The sequence below is a fragment of the Homo sapiens genome, chromosome 1 (assembly GCF_000001405.40).
Source record: "Homo sapiens chromosome 1, GRCh38.p14 Primary Assembly".
In the NCBI taxonomy this organism is placed as follows: domain Eukaryota; kingdom Metazoa; phylum Chordata; class Mammalia; order Primates; family Hominidae; genus Homo; species Homo sapiens.
In genome coordinates, this window is record NC_000001.11 from 113,647,167 (window position 1) to 113,663,900 (window position 16,734).

General features: G+C 36.9%; 1 protein-coding gene across 5 annotated transcripts in view; it reads left to right on the top strand.

Annotated features, from left to right (window-relative positions):
- MAGI3 (membrane associated guanylate kinase, WW and PDZ domain containing 3) overlaps positions 1–16,734 on the top strand; it is a 295,409-nt gene that overhangs the window by 256,652 nt on the left and 22,023 nt on the right. For all 5 annotated transcript variants that reach the window (XM_017000974.2, NM_152900.3, XM_005270737.4 and 2 more), the window contains exons 13-16: positions 2,071–2,162; positions 3,848–4,040; positions 6,664–6,852; positions 11,914–12,099. In XM_017000974.2, the coding sequence (XP_016856463.1) occupies positions 2,071–2,162; positions 3,848–4,040; positions 6,664–6,852; positions 11,914–12,099 (660 nt within the window). The remainder of the gene's footprint in view (positions 1–2,070; positions 2,163–3,847; positions 4,041–6,663; positions 6,853–11,913; positions 12,100–16,734) is intronic.

Here is a 16,734-nt window from a genome sequence, read left to right on the forward strand (position 1 = left end):
GAATAGCACATGCACACTGGCCTTGCATGACTTGGGCTCTGCAAGTAGTTCACTTTCGCTGGGTGCAATTGGCAAGGAAAGTCACAGAGGAGAGCAGGAACAGATTGAGGAAGGCCAATGATGCCCTTCCAAGGGAGCTGGAGTTGGTCATATAAATAACAGAGAACCACAGAATGCCTTTAACTATAAGGAAGGCATAGTTTTGTGTTTTAGAAAGGTTTTTCTGGCAGGAGTATGAAGGATGAATCAGAGGTGTATGCAATTTGAGGGAGGGTGTGCAATTTGAAGAAGAAACTAAAGAGTTGACTCCTTACAGGAGTCCAGCTGAGAGATAAAAAGAGAGACTGCATAAGGCAGAAATTCATGCATGTTCCTACTAATTCACTTACTAATGATAAATCTTTTCCAAAGTAAAATTGCAGATTTGAGTAGGTATAATTTTTTAAAATTTATTTGTTCTTAGAAAGAGATGTAAATCTACCTTGGAAAAGATATGTACAAGTGGAATATATGTATAGTTGACTTAATGCTTATTTAACTAGTTGCAGAAGTACATCTTGATAATCCCAAGCCATATTCAGAAAGATGAAAACCAGTTGTACGCCCAGCAAAGCAATAATTTAAATTAGCATAACAATGTAGAATCCCTTTCTTCATACTTTCCATTCATAGCCTGATACATTATTAATACTGGTATAAACTCTGCAGTCCCATCAGGCTTCACCCATAAAATAAGTGAGTTGAACTGATGACTCTTTTTTTTTTTTTCCCCTGAGACAGAGTCTTGCTCTGTCACCCGGAGCTGGAGTGCAGTGGCACAATCTCAGCTCACTGAAACCTCTGCCTCCTAGGTTCAAGCAATTCTCCTGCCTCAGCCTCCTGAGTAGCTGGCACTACAGGCGTATGCCACCATGACTGGCTAAGTTTTGCATTTTTAGTAGAGACGGGGTTTCACCATGTTAGTCAAGCTGGTCTCAAACTCCTGACCTCGTGATCCGCCCACCTCGGCCTCCCAAAGTGGACTCTTTTAATCTCTAAAGTTCTACAATTTTAATAGGAAGTATATATCAAAAGATACTGCTTCTATAGAATATTATCAGGAATTTACTAATCTCACTTTTTACATAGTTCCCTGACATGTTTATTTCTTCTCTCTTTACAGTAAATACTTCTTACCTATAAATAACATTAATATTTTCCCAAAGGAAAAATTTTAGTCATGAAATAGATTTTTGTGACTTAATATTCTTTTTTTTTTTTTTTGAGATGGAGTCTTGCTCTGTTGCCCAGGCTGGAATGCAGTGGCACGATCTCAGTTCACTGCAACCTCTGCCTCCCAGGTTCAAGCAATCCTCCTGCTTAATATTCTAAGGAATACAACCTACCCTTTGAGGGTAGGACAGTATGAGTTAGGAGATTAGACCCTGGAAATCAACCTGGATTTAAATCTTAGCTTCACCACTTGCTATGTGACAATGGCCAACTTACTTACACCCTCAGTTTTCCCACCTAGAAAATGGGGCTAATAATAAATGTTAGCTCTTAATTATTTTCCTTTAAAATGCTATCATTTTGCAAAACTAGGCTAGGTAAGTAGTTCATATGGAATACTTTTCTGAGAGAAAGGTATTAGCTTGAGAGCAGGAATAAGGTATTTTACAGGCACTCTATACAGCAGTGCCTGTACAGATTTAATGTACCTTACCCAAGTGTTAACTTAGGTCATTTGCACCTGTCAAATATCAAACTCAAGTTTGATCATTCTGAATTCAACATTGTTATATTGATTGGACAGCATTAGAAGTTAATGGCAGTGTAATACTGAGTATATGGAAGTGAGAGTAAATGTTTCTAAACAGTCTTCATACAGTTTTGTTTAGAGCTCAAAACGAGGATTTATAGTTGAATTGTGTGTGTGTGTTACACTCTTGTGCAAATTTTCCATATTAAAAAGTTCTGAGATTATAGTTTATTGAGTTACTCTATAATATCCTACTAAATACTGAACTTTGTTTTGTTTTAATCCTTTTAAAATAAATCATAGTATTTATATTTTCTGATTTTCCTCAGCACCAAACACCAAAGATTTGGATGTTTTTCTTCGAAAACAAGAGTCAGGGTTTGGCTTCAGGGTGCTAGGAGGAGATGGACCTGACCAGTCTGTAAGTGTCACTTCTTTGGAACATGGCTGTTTCCTGTTCAAACGTTTTGAGTGGTGATTTGGTGGATTATGGTGTGTTTTAAGTTTTTTTTTCTCTGACAGTTTCATTAATATGAAGAATAACTGCATTTCCATTATTATCATAGTCCCTCAGTTATTGTGGTGTAGCTGAGGCTAAAAACTGTGGGTAAAAACTGAATATGTCAGCTGCAAATTAGACAGTGATTAATTTATTTACTTCTCTGTGTGAATAACTACATAAAGCTTATTTTAAGTTTATATTTTCCTTTGCCCTCATTAAACAGAGTCTAAGACATTTTCCTTCTCTAAGAAGCCTATAATCCCATGTCCTCTTTCCCACTATTACTCTATCTTCTGGATGCTCCATAAATGGTTGGCATGAGCCTGTGCATATTGTTTCACCTCGTCTTATTAATAGGTTGGCATTTTCATGCTCAGTACTTTGCATGTCATTTCATCTGTTACCTTTGAAACTAGAGGAATATAAAATAATTAATATTTTTGTCCAGAGGCATAAGGGTTATATTTGCAAAGCATTTGAAGTCTAGGATTTTGTTTACACATGATTCTCACATAAACTTGTTTTAGAGAACAAATGTAGTGGGTTTTGTTTCTAAGTTTTGCTCTTGGTTTGAATAACAAAGAAGTAATGTGTTCTGTAGCATTTTTAAGAACATATTTGCATTTTATTTTATATAATATCAATATATTATATATCAAAAAATATGGTTGGAAGTTAGGTGAAGAACAATAATCTTTAAAAATTACAGGCTTCTTATTTCTGAATAGAACATTTGATTTATGTAGTATAAATTTGTTCTAATTGGTCATATTGGTTACAGTTACAACAGTCATTGGAGACACATAAAGCTTAAGGCAGGTTGCCCTATGTAGAACAAATACTAGATACTTTAATTGTTCTTGGTATTTGTATTTTTGTTTTATTGCTTCCTATTTTGTTGATACTCATAATGTTCACTTAGACATTTTAAGAATTTGTCTCAAACAACTTAGAAGAAACCTTTCTTTTCTCTTAAATGTCAGATTTTAGCAGCTCTGAAACTAGCCTAAACATTCAGGATTGCCTAATTACAGGATTCTAATGCTGGTGAGCAAAATGAACCAGATTTGTTCACCTAGATGCAAGTGAAGCTTCAGGCCACTCTGTTCCCGCTGAGATTTAGAAACAAGAAATGTCTCTGTGCTGTGTATATTGAACTTGTACCGTTAGTCATATGTGATGGGAGTACTGTTGAGAATGATCCCAGTTGCTGTGAACAGTATGTAGAAAATCTTGCCTGATGACATTGAACAGACTTTTAATAGCTACTCTGCAGATTTATATTTTCTGAGTTTAGTGTTTTGTTTCATTGTAATGATAGGGATAATGGTTGTGCTTTTTGAGTTATCGAACAACTTTGTATTTTCTATTTTCTTTGTACACAGCCCTGAGGATCTATAAGGGATTACATAATACAATGTGGTTATTTGAAGTGCCATTTTGGAGAATGGGCACTTTCTCAGATAATACCTTTCTAAAATATAACTGTTTTCATAGTTGAACTGCAAAAATCTGTTGGTTTGCACAATGCTAAGTTAGGAATTCCTTAACTCTTCAGCTAAACTTTACACTGTGGACCAAACTGTACTTTGTTATCTTATCAGATATATATTGGGGCTATTATTCCCCTGGGAGCAGCTGAGAAAGATGGTCGGCTCCGCGCAGCTGATGAACTAATGTGCATTGATGGAATTCCTGTTAAAGGGAAATCACACAAACAAGTCTTGGACCTCATGACAACTGCTGCTCGAAATGGCCATGTGTTACTAACTGTCAGACGGAAGATCTTCTATGGAGGTGTGTGAACTTGTTCCTGCTCTGAAAAGTTAAAAAAGAAACAAAGATACTAGTCTACTTCCTGTGTAGTTTTGCAGGTTATTTTATTACATTCAGTAGTATCTAAGATAACCCATTTGGTGTGATCCAGGGCCTCACTGTGGAAGGCTATGCAAACACAAAAGGATTCAGAAATAATACTACTATAAAAAAATAAATTTTGGGCTTCTATATTAAGATTATTTTCATATATTGATGCATTTTGCAAATGTATTATAGGTGGGAGTATTGATTTAAATCCGGTTTTGTTTTGTTTTGTTGAGTTGAGGTAGAGTCTCACTCTGTCACCCAGGCTAGAGTGCAGTGGTATGAGCTCAGCTCACTGCAACCTCCACCTCTTGGGTTCAAGCGATTCTCCTGCCTCAGCCTCCTGAGTAGCTGGGATTACAGGCACACACCACCACACGGCTAATTTTTGTATTTTTAGTAGAGACGGGGTTTCACCACATTGGCCAGGCTGGTCTCGAACTCTTGACCTCAAGTGATCCACCTGTCTCAGACTCCCAAAGTGCTGGAATTACAGGCGTGAGCCACTGTGCCCAGCCTAAATTTGTTTTGTTTTTTTTTAAATAACAAATACAAAATTATTTAGTCATACCAAGATATCCCACTAGCTGAATATACAAAGATTTTTGGATCCCAGTGAAATCTGAGCTACTAAAGGAAAGTAGGATGTTTCTACTTGAGAAGTTTTAGTATAATTTAACATTTATTGAGTGCTTACTATGTCCTAGATGCATGGATTATTTTATTTAATCTTCACAACACTATGAGGTCATTATCTAGTTCTATGATTACTCAGAGAAAGGTTGAGAAACAAATAACTGGTAAGAGGTAGGGCCTGGATTAAAAGTTGCAGTTTAATTCAGAGATCAGGGTTTAAACCATAGCATTAGGATATGAATATCTCTTATAGTTTCTCGCCAGTAGCTTTATGAATAATTAAATAGAAATTCTTATAAGTGAATTCTTTCCACTTTAAAATTAAAAAAATACAACTCTGTAGCACAAGAATATAAGCCTCATGAAGGTATGAATTTTTATTTGTGTAGTTATCTGCTGTAAGCTCGGCACCTAAAAGAGTGCCTGTCTGGTACAAAGTGGACATTAATAAATGTTGTTAATTGGATGAATATTTACATCACTCTTAAAAATGAGGCACTGTATTTTTTATTGCAACATTCAAAGTAAAGGCCTGCCTCCTTTGGTAAATACCAGGCATTTAGAATGCATATAGATTGTAATGCAGTACTGCCTCAATTTGGTTGTGTTGGAGGCCAAATGTAACTACTTACAGTAAAATTGTGATGTTATACAACCTACGCTCTTCCCTGGAAAGAATCATGAAGAAGTTTCATAGTAGTTTGGTATTATTGGAGACATTTTAGCTAATACATTCTAACTATGCATTTTGAAAAAAAAAAAGAAAAAAACATATTCTTAAAACCATGTGAATTTTCAGCCAGAAAGAGACCTTATAAATATGGACATGACTGCAGTGTGTTGTGGTTATTATTAACGATGGTTTGTACCAAATTATGGCAAAAAATATGCCCTTTTTAAAAAATCAGTTAGGACTTTGTGTCATTCTCAAGTTCTGATGTCATCCTTGAAGAGCAGAAAAAGGTGTAGGTTAATTGGCCATTTGTCAGGAATTTCATATGACCCTGTCTATGCCCAGAAGTGTTTGCTATTCATGTGGACAGCTTGTTATGTGTCCCAGCAAGTTGAGGGGTGGAGGTTGGGGAGGTTGAAGGCTGAGAACTGCTAATGATGAACTCATCTTATATCATCACTCAGGAAACTGCAGTTGCAAAACACATCATATAAGACAAATCCTGTACAGGTAGCAAACTGTTATAATGGGGCAGCATTTCTGCCCTGATGCTTTAACCTCTAAGACAGACATCAATGAATATCAGTCACTGAGCTAAATTATATTTATAATTGATTTTAAAAGGAAGTTCATGTGTCATTCCTCATTATGTGTTTCATTAAAATTATTGGTCCATGTTATAAAACTTGATGGAACTAAAACAGTTTTAGGAAGAATTTTTTTACTATCAAATCTCACAGAAACTTTGAAAAGCTTCCTTTAAAATGAGATCATGAGGTCAGGAGTTCGAGACCAGCCTGGCCAATATGGTGAAACCCCATCTCTTCTAAAAATACAAAAATTAGCCGGGCATGGTGGTGGGCACCTGTAATCCCAGCTACTCAGGAGGCTGAGGCAGGAGAATGGCGTGAACCCAGGAAGCAGAGGTTGCAATGAGCCGAGATCGCGCCACTGCACTCCAGCCTAGGTGACAGAGCAAGACGCCATCTCGGGGAAAAAAAAAAATGAGATAACATGAGATTGTATGTATTTTTCAGTAATCCACTCTGAGTATTTGGGAAGTCGGATGGACTGCTGTTGCCTACATCTGCACTCAGATTATACCCGAAGCTCACATGTGGGGCTGCTTTTCTATTCTTTATGTTATTAGAAACTGAATTTTTCTGTGAGAGGCTTAGCATAAAAACACTTTAGTCACCAGAAATTATGATGTTCCAGACATATCAAAACTGATCATGTTTATTACAGAAAAACAACCCGAGGACGACAGCTCTCAGGCCTTCATTTCAACACAGAATGGATCTCCCCGCCTGAACCGGGCAGAGGTCCCAGCCAGGCCTGCACCCCAGGAGCCCTATGATGTTGTCTTGCAACGAAAAGAAAATGAAGGATTTGGCTTTGTCATCCTCACCTCCAAAAACAAACCACCTCCAGGAGGTAAGGGCTATTGTATCTTATTGTCTCTCCCTGCAAGTCCAGTTTTCTGAGGCTCCCACTGGAGTTTATGAAATAATTAGGAGCTATGTATAAAATGCCTTAGGTACTTATCTTTTTAAGAATGGTGAATACTTTCCTTATTTTCAAAATTAGGTAATTTGAACCGAACCTTCCAGGCTTCAAGTTTATCTATTATCTCACATTCTATAAAATATTTAATAAGTCTCAGTAGCTCCATTTGCCTCAAGGTTATACTGAAGACAGTATGTCATAGATATGGATTTAATGAAAGGTATAATGCTGACTTTTAAGAAAATGGGGACATAGGTTTTGAAAATTAGGATAAATCGTGTATGTAGAAAATAGAGACTAGAAGCAATTGAGAAGAAGCAAAGCAGATTAACAGAAAAATCTTGACCCAAATATGTCGTAGATATTTTATGTTATTATTTAATAATAATTGCCATAGTCCAGCTATAAATTACCCTTGTTGAATGATAAGAGGCATACCTTTTATAAATGTTTCATTGAAAGGTAAAAATTTTGTCAACAATTGGAAAATGGATCTAAATATCTTGAACCAAGTTTAACAGAATATTCTAATCCAGAAGATGAATGTATTTATATCAGTTCCATGATCAAAGGAGGAATTACATCTGATATATTCAGGGCTGTTACGATTCAGCAAATGAAATATTTGTCTTGATATTTCTATAAAATAATAATTTTTAATATAATTATAAAATCCAGTTGAATATGAGAACCAGCTCCAAGTCAAATAATAAAAATCTTTGACCACATGAAAATGTGCCCTTGCCTTTACAAGTCAGTTTGATTATGTTTTGAATAGTGAGATCCTTTTAGACCAAGTGGTTGCTAAAACCTTAGTTTAAAAAAAAGAAAACACTTTTAGGAAAGTGTTGTGAGCCAAATCAGTTTGCAAAAATCTTGCTAAAATTAATGGAAATGTATAAGGGAAAAAGAGTCCATGACATGGATGAGTTATTGCTATAGTATTAGGTCACTGCTCACTGATGCTAGTTTCCATTTTCCCAAAGCAGTTGCCATGGAAACACTTGGAACTGGAACTGTCACTGATGCTGTGAGGATGATAATATGGCGTGTGTCAGAAAAATGAAAGGAAAGCAGCTTTTAGGTGGTTTTCATGTTGTATCATTGGAATCAGTATTTCCAAAAACAGATAACCATTTAGGATAATGATATTGTCATTCTCGTAACATACAATAACACCAGGCATTCAGATTAACTAAAACAGTGAAAGTATTACTCTAGTAGATAGATGCTAACCACTTTCTATATTGAAGATATTCCCTTTCTAGCACTACAGAAATTTGGGGAAAGTCTAGTGTTCACTATAAAACTAAGCTATATAGAGGAATTCAGTAAAATAAGTTTCATTGCTTAAATATATTTAAGCATATTTTTACATTTATTTATATTTAACATTTATGTTATATTAAATTTTAATATATTAAGTATTTTTATTTGTATATATTGGTAAATTTTTAAAAATTTAAAAATCTTTAAGTAGTTTTATATTTCCTTGTTTCAATCATTTTTTACTATTGTGATGGTTTTACCTATGGAGATACTTCATCTCTTTAAGATAGTGTCATTAAGTGTTGTGTTTTGTAATCCAACAAACTTGGATTCAAGTCCTGCTTATGTCTTTTAATAGCTGTCTGATCTTGGGCAAATTACTTTCCCTCCAAGAGCTCCAGTTTCTTCCACAAAATGAGGATGATAGAGACACTCCCTGTCTCATGAATGTGAGGATTAAAGGAGACAGGGTATGTGAAGCCCTTAGCCAAGGCCTTCAGTAAATGTTAGCTGCTGTTGCTTGTTGTAACTTCTGCTGCCATTGTTATCATCATCATTATTTAGAAAATTGTCACCGTCTCTTAACTTTTCTTTTAAAAAAAAACTTTTAAAAGTTCATCAATACTTAATAATGAGATAGGAAAGAAAGCCCAATTAAAATGTAAGATTGAGGCAGCAGCTAACATGTGGCAGGAGATGAGTATTTGCAGCTCATTAATTATCAGGCTGAATGGTAAATTAGGCTCAGGTTGTTGATGAATTTTATGTAAAGTACTTGAGATTTTCAGTCATGGTGTAAAACCAGAATTGATAATTTCACTGAAATGCTAGTTAATAATCTCATAAAATGTTGAGGCCTGAGAGTATTCTTGTTAGAATTTTATTTTTCACATATAGACAGAAAAAGGGTCCTGGGGAAAGCTCCAATGAGGAGTTTTCACTTACAGAGACTGAACACTTGCTGCAAACTGTATGACAGAGAAGGTTTGGTTCAGAAAGGAGTTAGCACAGGTGGAAAGGCAGGAAACCTGTCTCAGAATAGATCAGTATTTTCTTTTTCTTTTTTTTTTTTTTGAGACAGTCTTACTCTGTTGCCCAGGCTGGAGTGGAGTGGTGTGATCTCGGTTCACTGCAACCTCTGCCTCCCAGGTTCAAGTGATTCTCGTGCCTCAGCCTCCCGATTAGCTGGGATTACAGGCATGTGCCAACACACCTGGCTAATTTTTTTTGTATTTTTAGCAGAGACGGGGTTTTGCCATGTTGGCCAGGCTGGTCTCAAACTCCCAACCTCAGGCAATCCACCCACCTTGGCCTCCCAAAGTGCTGGGATTACAGACATGAGCCACCGTGCCCAGCCAGATCATTCTTTATGGACCTCATCTCAGGTATTTTCTGATGACGTATGTCTCAAGAAGAGTTCCTAGTAGCATCTGTGGTACCAGTTATGGAATTCTGAGTTTCTCTACTGTTGACTTTTTCAAAGATCAGGGATCCAGGTCTAGCATCCTCACAATTTGTCTAAGTGCTGAATGAATGGAGTACTTAGAAAAGGCCTCTATTTAAGATTAAGAAGACTCGGCTAGTTTTTGCTTTACTAGTACTTCAGAGCTTTTAGTGTTATTCCTTCTTATCATGTAGTTTTCAGTTCTGGTTGCAAAGGATTTCTTTGAAAAGGGAACATTTCCAGTTACTGTTCTTTGTTTTCCTGAAAAGAAATGTTTTAAGAGCACTAAAGTGATCTCAGGATCTAGACAAGCCAGGCTATGAGACAGATTTAGGCCAAAGATGAATGAAGATGGATAAGTTGGCTTTATGGCAAATGCCTGTAGACTTTGTGTATCAACAAAAACAAGGCAGGACTGAAGGCTTTTCCCTAGCTATGTGAACTCTAAGGGGTTACCTTGAACAGTTTCCCAGTCCGTTTAGAAAATGTTCAGAAGCTACCTTTCTACTGGTCTGTTTGCTATTTTTAACTGTTCCGGTGACACTGCTATAAATACTAAGACAGTAACAATCTGACTGCTTTTACCTTCCCTCACCCAGACAACCAGCCCTTTAGGAAGTTGTATACCACCATGCACCAATTCTTTTTACCACATTGCTCGCAGACTGAGAAAGGGGACCACTAAGATTTCAGAGATTAATTCTATTTAATGCTTTCCCAAGTCTGAACAAACTCCTTTTAGTGAGCCAAGGAACTGAATGATTTTCTTCTCAGAGTATCTAGAAAGAACACTATGTTTGAGTAAATCTTTTGTAAGGAGAATAACTGAGATATTGATTTAGAAGGTCACCACAGGGCCACCGTATGACCTGCCGTATGTTTCTGGTGTGCCACCTGTTGTAGAATTAGTGAATCAACTCATAATGCCTGATATGACATGGCCCTTTCTGCACTGGCATTTCTCTAATTACGTTGTTTGTAAGGAAAATAGAATAATAAGTGCTTGACATAATTCAGAGCTAAAAGGCACTTCCTTCCAACATTGACTTACTCTATTTTAAGATAAAATCTGCCACTGTGTATTCCTAGAAGAGCCAGGGCACTGTCTGTAGGGAAATAAATCATCATCAAGAATAACTTTTCTACTCCAAATGAAGGTCTATTTAAATGTCCCTTACATACTCCTAGATATGATTCAGAAATACTAGTAAGGAGCAGGTTTTACTATGGAAATTAAACATCATTCACAGTGCCATTCAAAAATATGAATTATCCCTATTCAAATCAGTCAGTAGTCAGCAGGAGCCCACATACCTGATAAGTTTAAAGTTTACTGACCTAGGCTAGGAAATTCTCAGAGAACATAGAAGGAACATTTGTTTCCTAATACAAATGCTGCCTGTTGCACGGTGGAAAATATTTTGTTTGACAAGATTTCCTGAATATCTGAGAACTCATTTCAAGCTATAATAATAGCAGAGTATCTTAATAGTTAGTCCAGGAAGGCTCTTAGCATTATAAGCTAGAGATACAGTAGAGCTACACAGAGCATCTTTGCAATTGTATTAGACTCAGCTTTGTGTATTTGGTTTAGAATTTGATCCATGAGTCAAGTAGTCTTAACAGTTAACATTTAATGTTCCAATTCCACTCAGCTTTTCAAATTTTAAAAAGAGCCAAAGGCATAAATAAGAGGAATTAATTTACATGTGGAATTAAGTATGATTCATTTTAATTGTCAGTCATTTCACTGTACCTGAATTTCTGACCAATAACTACCGAGTGCTAAACCTGAGTTTGACCTGCATTTATTTACAAGGTTCCTTATGGGAGCAAGTGTCCCTTTAACAGAAGCAAAGATAATCTTATCGTAGCAGTTTTTAAAATAGCTAAAAACTTGTTGCAGCTTAAATGGCCAACAATAAACAATGAGACATCTGATCAGTCAGGTGGTATCAGTGAGATTAGTAGCTCTTAAACAGAACAATTACGATGAGAATGTAAAAATTAGAAAAAGGTTTCTGGTAGGTAGAAAATAGCAAAGAGGTTTATATGCTATGATTACAACTGTGTAAAGAGTATTTATGCATGTGGGCAAAAGTGAGAAGTATGAAAATAGTTCCGTTTGGATGCGATGATGACGTGTGGTACTTTTCTGTTATGTTTTTAAATAATTTTCTTTGATGTTATGTTGAATTTTAAATGACGTTGATTATAAATCTAACACTAGCAGAAATCTTAAATAATTGAAAAACCTGGGGTTTTTTTTCCCATAGTTATTCCTCATAAAATTGGCCGAGTCATAGAAGGAAGTCCGGCTGACCGCTGTGGAAAACTGAAAGTTGGAGATCATATCTCTGCAGTGAATGGGCAGTCCATTGTTGAACTGTCTCATGATAACATTGTTCAGCTGATCAAAGATGCTGGTGTCACCGTCACACTAACGGTCATTGCTGAAGAAGGTAAGGAGCCAGTAGACGCGCCTGCCCCAAGCTGATCTGAGAGGCACAAAGCCTGTGTGAGGCAGTGGCCTCCTCCAGCACTGCCAGAATCACTGCGGGGATATAACTGTGTATGCACGCTGGAGTCTTATTCTTCCCCTTTTCAATTTAATGAACTTAAAAAACAACTTATTATAAAGTTGTCAGCAGCTCAAGAAAAATAATCCAGCTAGTGAGTGTGGACCGTTTATTTATGTGCTAGAGAAGCAAGCACCCAGAAGTGAAAGAGACTGGTAGTACTTTTCAGATCTTATTTTCTTAAAATAATGTCTTAAGTCTTCGCTTAAGTGAGAGAAAATCCTTTAAACAGTTCAAAGAAAGTCACTGTTGATATCAAGTCTTTTATGTCAGGCCCATGCCACAGTGTGCCTTTCCTTGGGGACAGGGCTTTGTTCTGGGCAGCCGCTTTGTAAACAGGGTAAAGGAGTGCGTGGGAATGGCTAGTAAGTGGGGCATAAAACACATACTGGCAGCCGTGGAGTCTCCCAAACATGTTTAATGTCTTGCCTTGCTGTAAAGCTGCCTTTTGATCATTAAGAATTTCTAATTAGGAACCATCTTTAGCCAGTCCATATTCTTTGTGAATTACAACATAACCACTATGTAATGCTCTCATTTTTCCTGATTTTGCAAAACTAACAAGGAGAAGCCAAAAACAGAATTATGAAGGGTCAGTCTTTGATGTTAAAATTCCTCATACTATAATGTGTATTCATGTTCCATTTTCTCCCATGACCCTCTAATCTAGTTGGTTTCCAAGTCTTTTATACTTCCTGGTTCTACCTTTTGTTTCTGTTCCTACCACACCACTCTCATCATTTATTTCTAAGGTATTACATAAATCTGTTCAAGATGCTATAGGGGTTATTTCTGCATGGACATGAATTGACTTCACTGCTCCCTTAGGCCCTGTCGAATTCTGGGCAGGATTCCAAGATGCTGTGACATCCCTGCCTTTGTTCTTTCCCTTCTCCATTCTGTTCCTATACTCTTCTCAGACTCTGCTGATTCTTTTCTAAAATAATCCCTTGTAGAAGCTCCACTGCTTCCCCACTCTCTGCCCAGAAAGTGTTCTGTGATTTTGCTCTCAGCCTTTTAAATGTACTTCTCAGTATTCTCTCCACACCCTCTCTAAGCTGGGCCTCACTGGCCTCTATGTACATGGCCTTCCCCCGCAACCGCAACTCCCATAGCACCTCCTATCTCTGCACTTCACTGGACATCATTCTTACATAACCATATCCCTATTTAAATGGTCTGCTCTTTGTAAACAAAAAACATATTGGTTGACTATGATACTAGATGCTCAGCATTTTTTTTTTTTTTTTGAGACAGGGTCTCACTCTGTTGCCCAGGCTGGAGTGCAGTGGCACAGTCCTGGCTCGCTGCAGTCTCAACCTCCCGGGCTCAAGTGATCCTCTGACCTCAGCGTCCTGAGTAGCTAGGACTACATAATTTTTAATTTTTTTTTTTTTTTTTTTTGAGATAGGGGTCTCACTGTGTTGCGTAGTCTGGTCTCGAACTCCTGGGCTCAAGCGATCTTCCTGCCTCAGCCTCCCACAGTGCTAGTATTACAGGCGTGAGCCACCATGCCTGGCCAGCAAATATTTTTTGAATGAAGGAATGAGTAAACGAATGAGTGAACAAAGTAAAAGTTAGGAGATGTTAGTTCTGAGGGCTTCTGTCCCATTACCTAAGCAGAGGCTATTTAAACCCAATAAAAGAAGTAAGGCTTTTGACAAAGGCCACAGATACCTATTAGCTAGTTACATGACAAAAAAACTACATAATATTTCTAATCTTCACTTTTTTAACTGTAGAACTGGAGTAGTAATATCTATTTCAGTATCATCATCAGGGGTTAAAGGTGAAAATATACATAAACTGCATAAATACCCTAGGGTGCTCATCTAATATCATTATTTTACCTACATGACTGGCTCCCTCATTCAGGTCTCTGTTTAAATCTCACTTCCCAAGGAAATAATAATAGTATTTAATAAGTGTGTACTATGTGACAGGCACTGTCCTAAATGCTTGACATATATTAACTAATACAATAATCCTAGGCAGGCACTATGGTTTTCCAATTCTTGTAGATGAGGAAACTGAGTCACAGAGCAGTTAGATGAATTGCCTGTGGTTAAAAAATGTTCTAAATGCTTACTCTCAATATCTATGTATCTCGTCTATGAACCACACTTTGGGTAGCCTTGGGATAGATTGTTAGGAAAAAAAACTACTTCTTTCTCCAGTAACTTTTCCCCCAAAATTACTGTTTAATGTTGATGGTATTTTCTCCAAGAGATTATCCAAGATTGTTCATAATTTTTCTTAGAATAAAAGTTCCCTTTCACATTCTGGCCCAAACACTTGTGGACAGACACTTAAGATTTCCTGTGTAACGTCAGTTTGTGTGCAGAGAAAAGAGAAGGGTGGAGGGAAGCTCCCTAGAAGATATATACTTAAAGTATATTTCATATGCAGCCACAGCCTCTTAAAATACAGTCACATTTTATATGTTAAATCACATTTCACTGATCACACACTATTTTATTATGCTCTAGGTTTTTTTTAAACTATGAAAACATCCAGAATCTCTTATTTTTCTTAGGAAAAAACAGAAAATCTTCCTTCTGTCCATAAAGATCTCATTCATGGAGTTTGTAAGCCTTCCAGGTTCTCATAAAATTCAGTATAAAATCTATCAACTGCATTAATGAGTCAAATGAATATTTATAACTCTAAAGCTATTTTCAGAAACCACACATTCAGATCAATACCTTAGGGCAGCAGAGCTTCCCATCTGATACTTCTCCCCTTCTCTCCATCAGCCATTCCCCATTGACAGGTAAAAGACAGTTACCTAGAAAATGAACAACTCTTGGTCCCTCCATCCTTTTTTCCCCCTTTGCTAGATGCTGTTTAATATTTGTGCCTATGTTGCCAAGGATATGGTAAGGCAAGTGTCATATTTCATAAAAGACTTCCAAACTGTAGCCAGGACTTGAGACTGTTCTCTATCATATGGCATTCCCCACAACACTACCGCCTCTTCCTCTGCCATGGTATCTTGTTTTTAAATATGGAACATAAATTTACTATATCTGGTAGTTCCTGCTTACTGTAAAAAAAAACTTAAATTATATAATTTTTCAAAATTAATTTCAAATTTTTTGTCAGGCCTTGTTAATTTTAAGAGTGAACATGACTTACCAAAGGCTACCAAGCACTCCTGTTGGAATTGATTCTGGTAGTGTTGCAATACTTTTGTTTTGTTTTGTTTTCAGTTGATTTATCTGTTTATTCCCATTTGTCTCCATTTTCCATTCTCATTTCTCTCACTGCTCCCATTGGCAAGCATTCTAGTATGTTTTATGTACTGCATTTTATTTGTACATCTTTTAAAATACATTTTTTGTTGTGTGTTGGCATTTATTTTTGAGTTACGTAAATGTTATGGATTTTACACTGGGTTTTTCTCAGAACCATGTTGTTGTTGTTTTCTTTTAATGCCATTTTACTGTTCTAAGATCCAATCCAGTATTCCTCTTGACATTTAGCTGTTGTCTTTTTTTTCTTTTTAATTGGGATAGACTTCATATACTATAAAATTAATCATTCTAAAATATACAATTTGGCCTGGCGCCGTGGCTCATGCCTGTAATCCCAGCACTTTGGGAGGCCAAGGCAGGCGGATCAACTGAGGTCGGGAGTTCAAGACCAACCTGACCAACATGGAGAAACCCCACCTCTACTAAAAATACAAAATTAGCCAGGCGTGATGGCATGTGCCTGTAATCCCAGCTACTCGGGAGGCTGAGGCAGGAGAATCACTTGAACCCGGGAGGCAGAGGTTGCTGTGAGCTGAGATTGCGCCATTGCACTCCAGCCTGGGCAACAAGAGTGAAACTCCATCTCAAAAACAGAAATATATATATATATATATATATGCATTTCAGTGGTTTTTAGTATATTCACAGGGTTTTGCAATCATTACCACTAGTTCCACATTTTATTGCTCCAAAAAGAAACTTCATACCCATTAGAAATCACTTCCCATTCTCTCGAAACCCCCATCCCTAGGCAACCACTTATCCACTTTCTGTCTCTGTGGATTTGCTGGGTATTTCATATAAATAGAATCATACAATATGTGGCCTTTTGTGTCTGGCTTCTTTCATCTGGCAAAATGTTTTCAAGGTACGTCCTAGTTGTAGCATGCATCAGTACTGCATTCCTTTTTATGACTAATGAACAATATTTCATTATGCATACATATATTTTTCTTACCTATTAATCATTTGATAGACATTTCAGTTGTTTCTACTACTGTGAATAATGCCACTACAAATGCTGTTTTATAGGTTTTTGTGTTGTTTTATGATTTCATTTTTCTTGGTCGTATACCTAGGAGTGGAATTGTTGGGTCGCATGGTAACTATGTTTAGCTTTTTGAAGAACTTCAAAACTGTTTTCCACAGCAGCTGCACCCTTTTATATTCCCACCAGCAATGTATGAGGCTTCCATTTCCCCATATCCTTGCCAACACTTATTTTCTGTTTCAGGGGTTTGTTTTCTAGCCATTCTAGTGG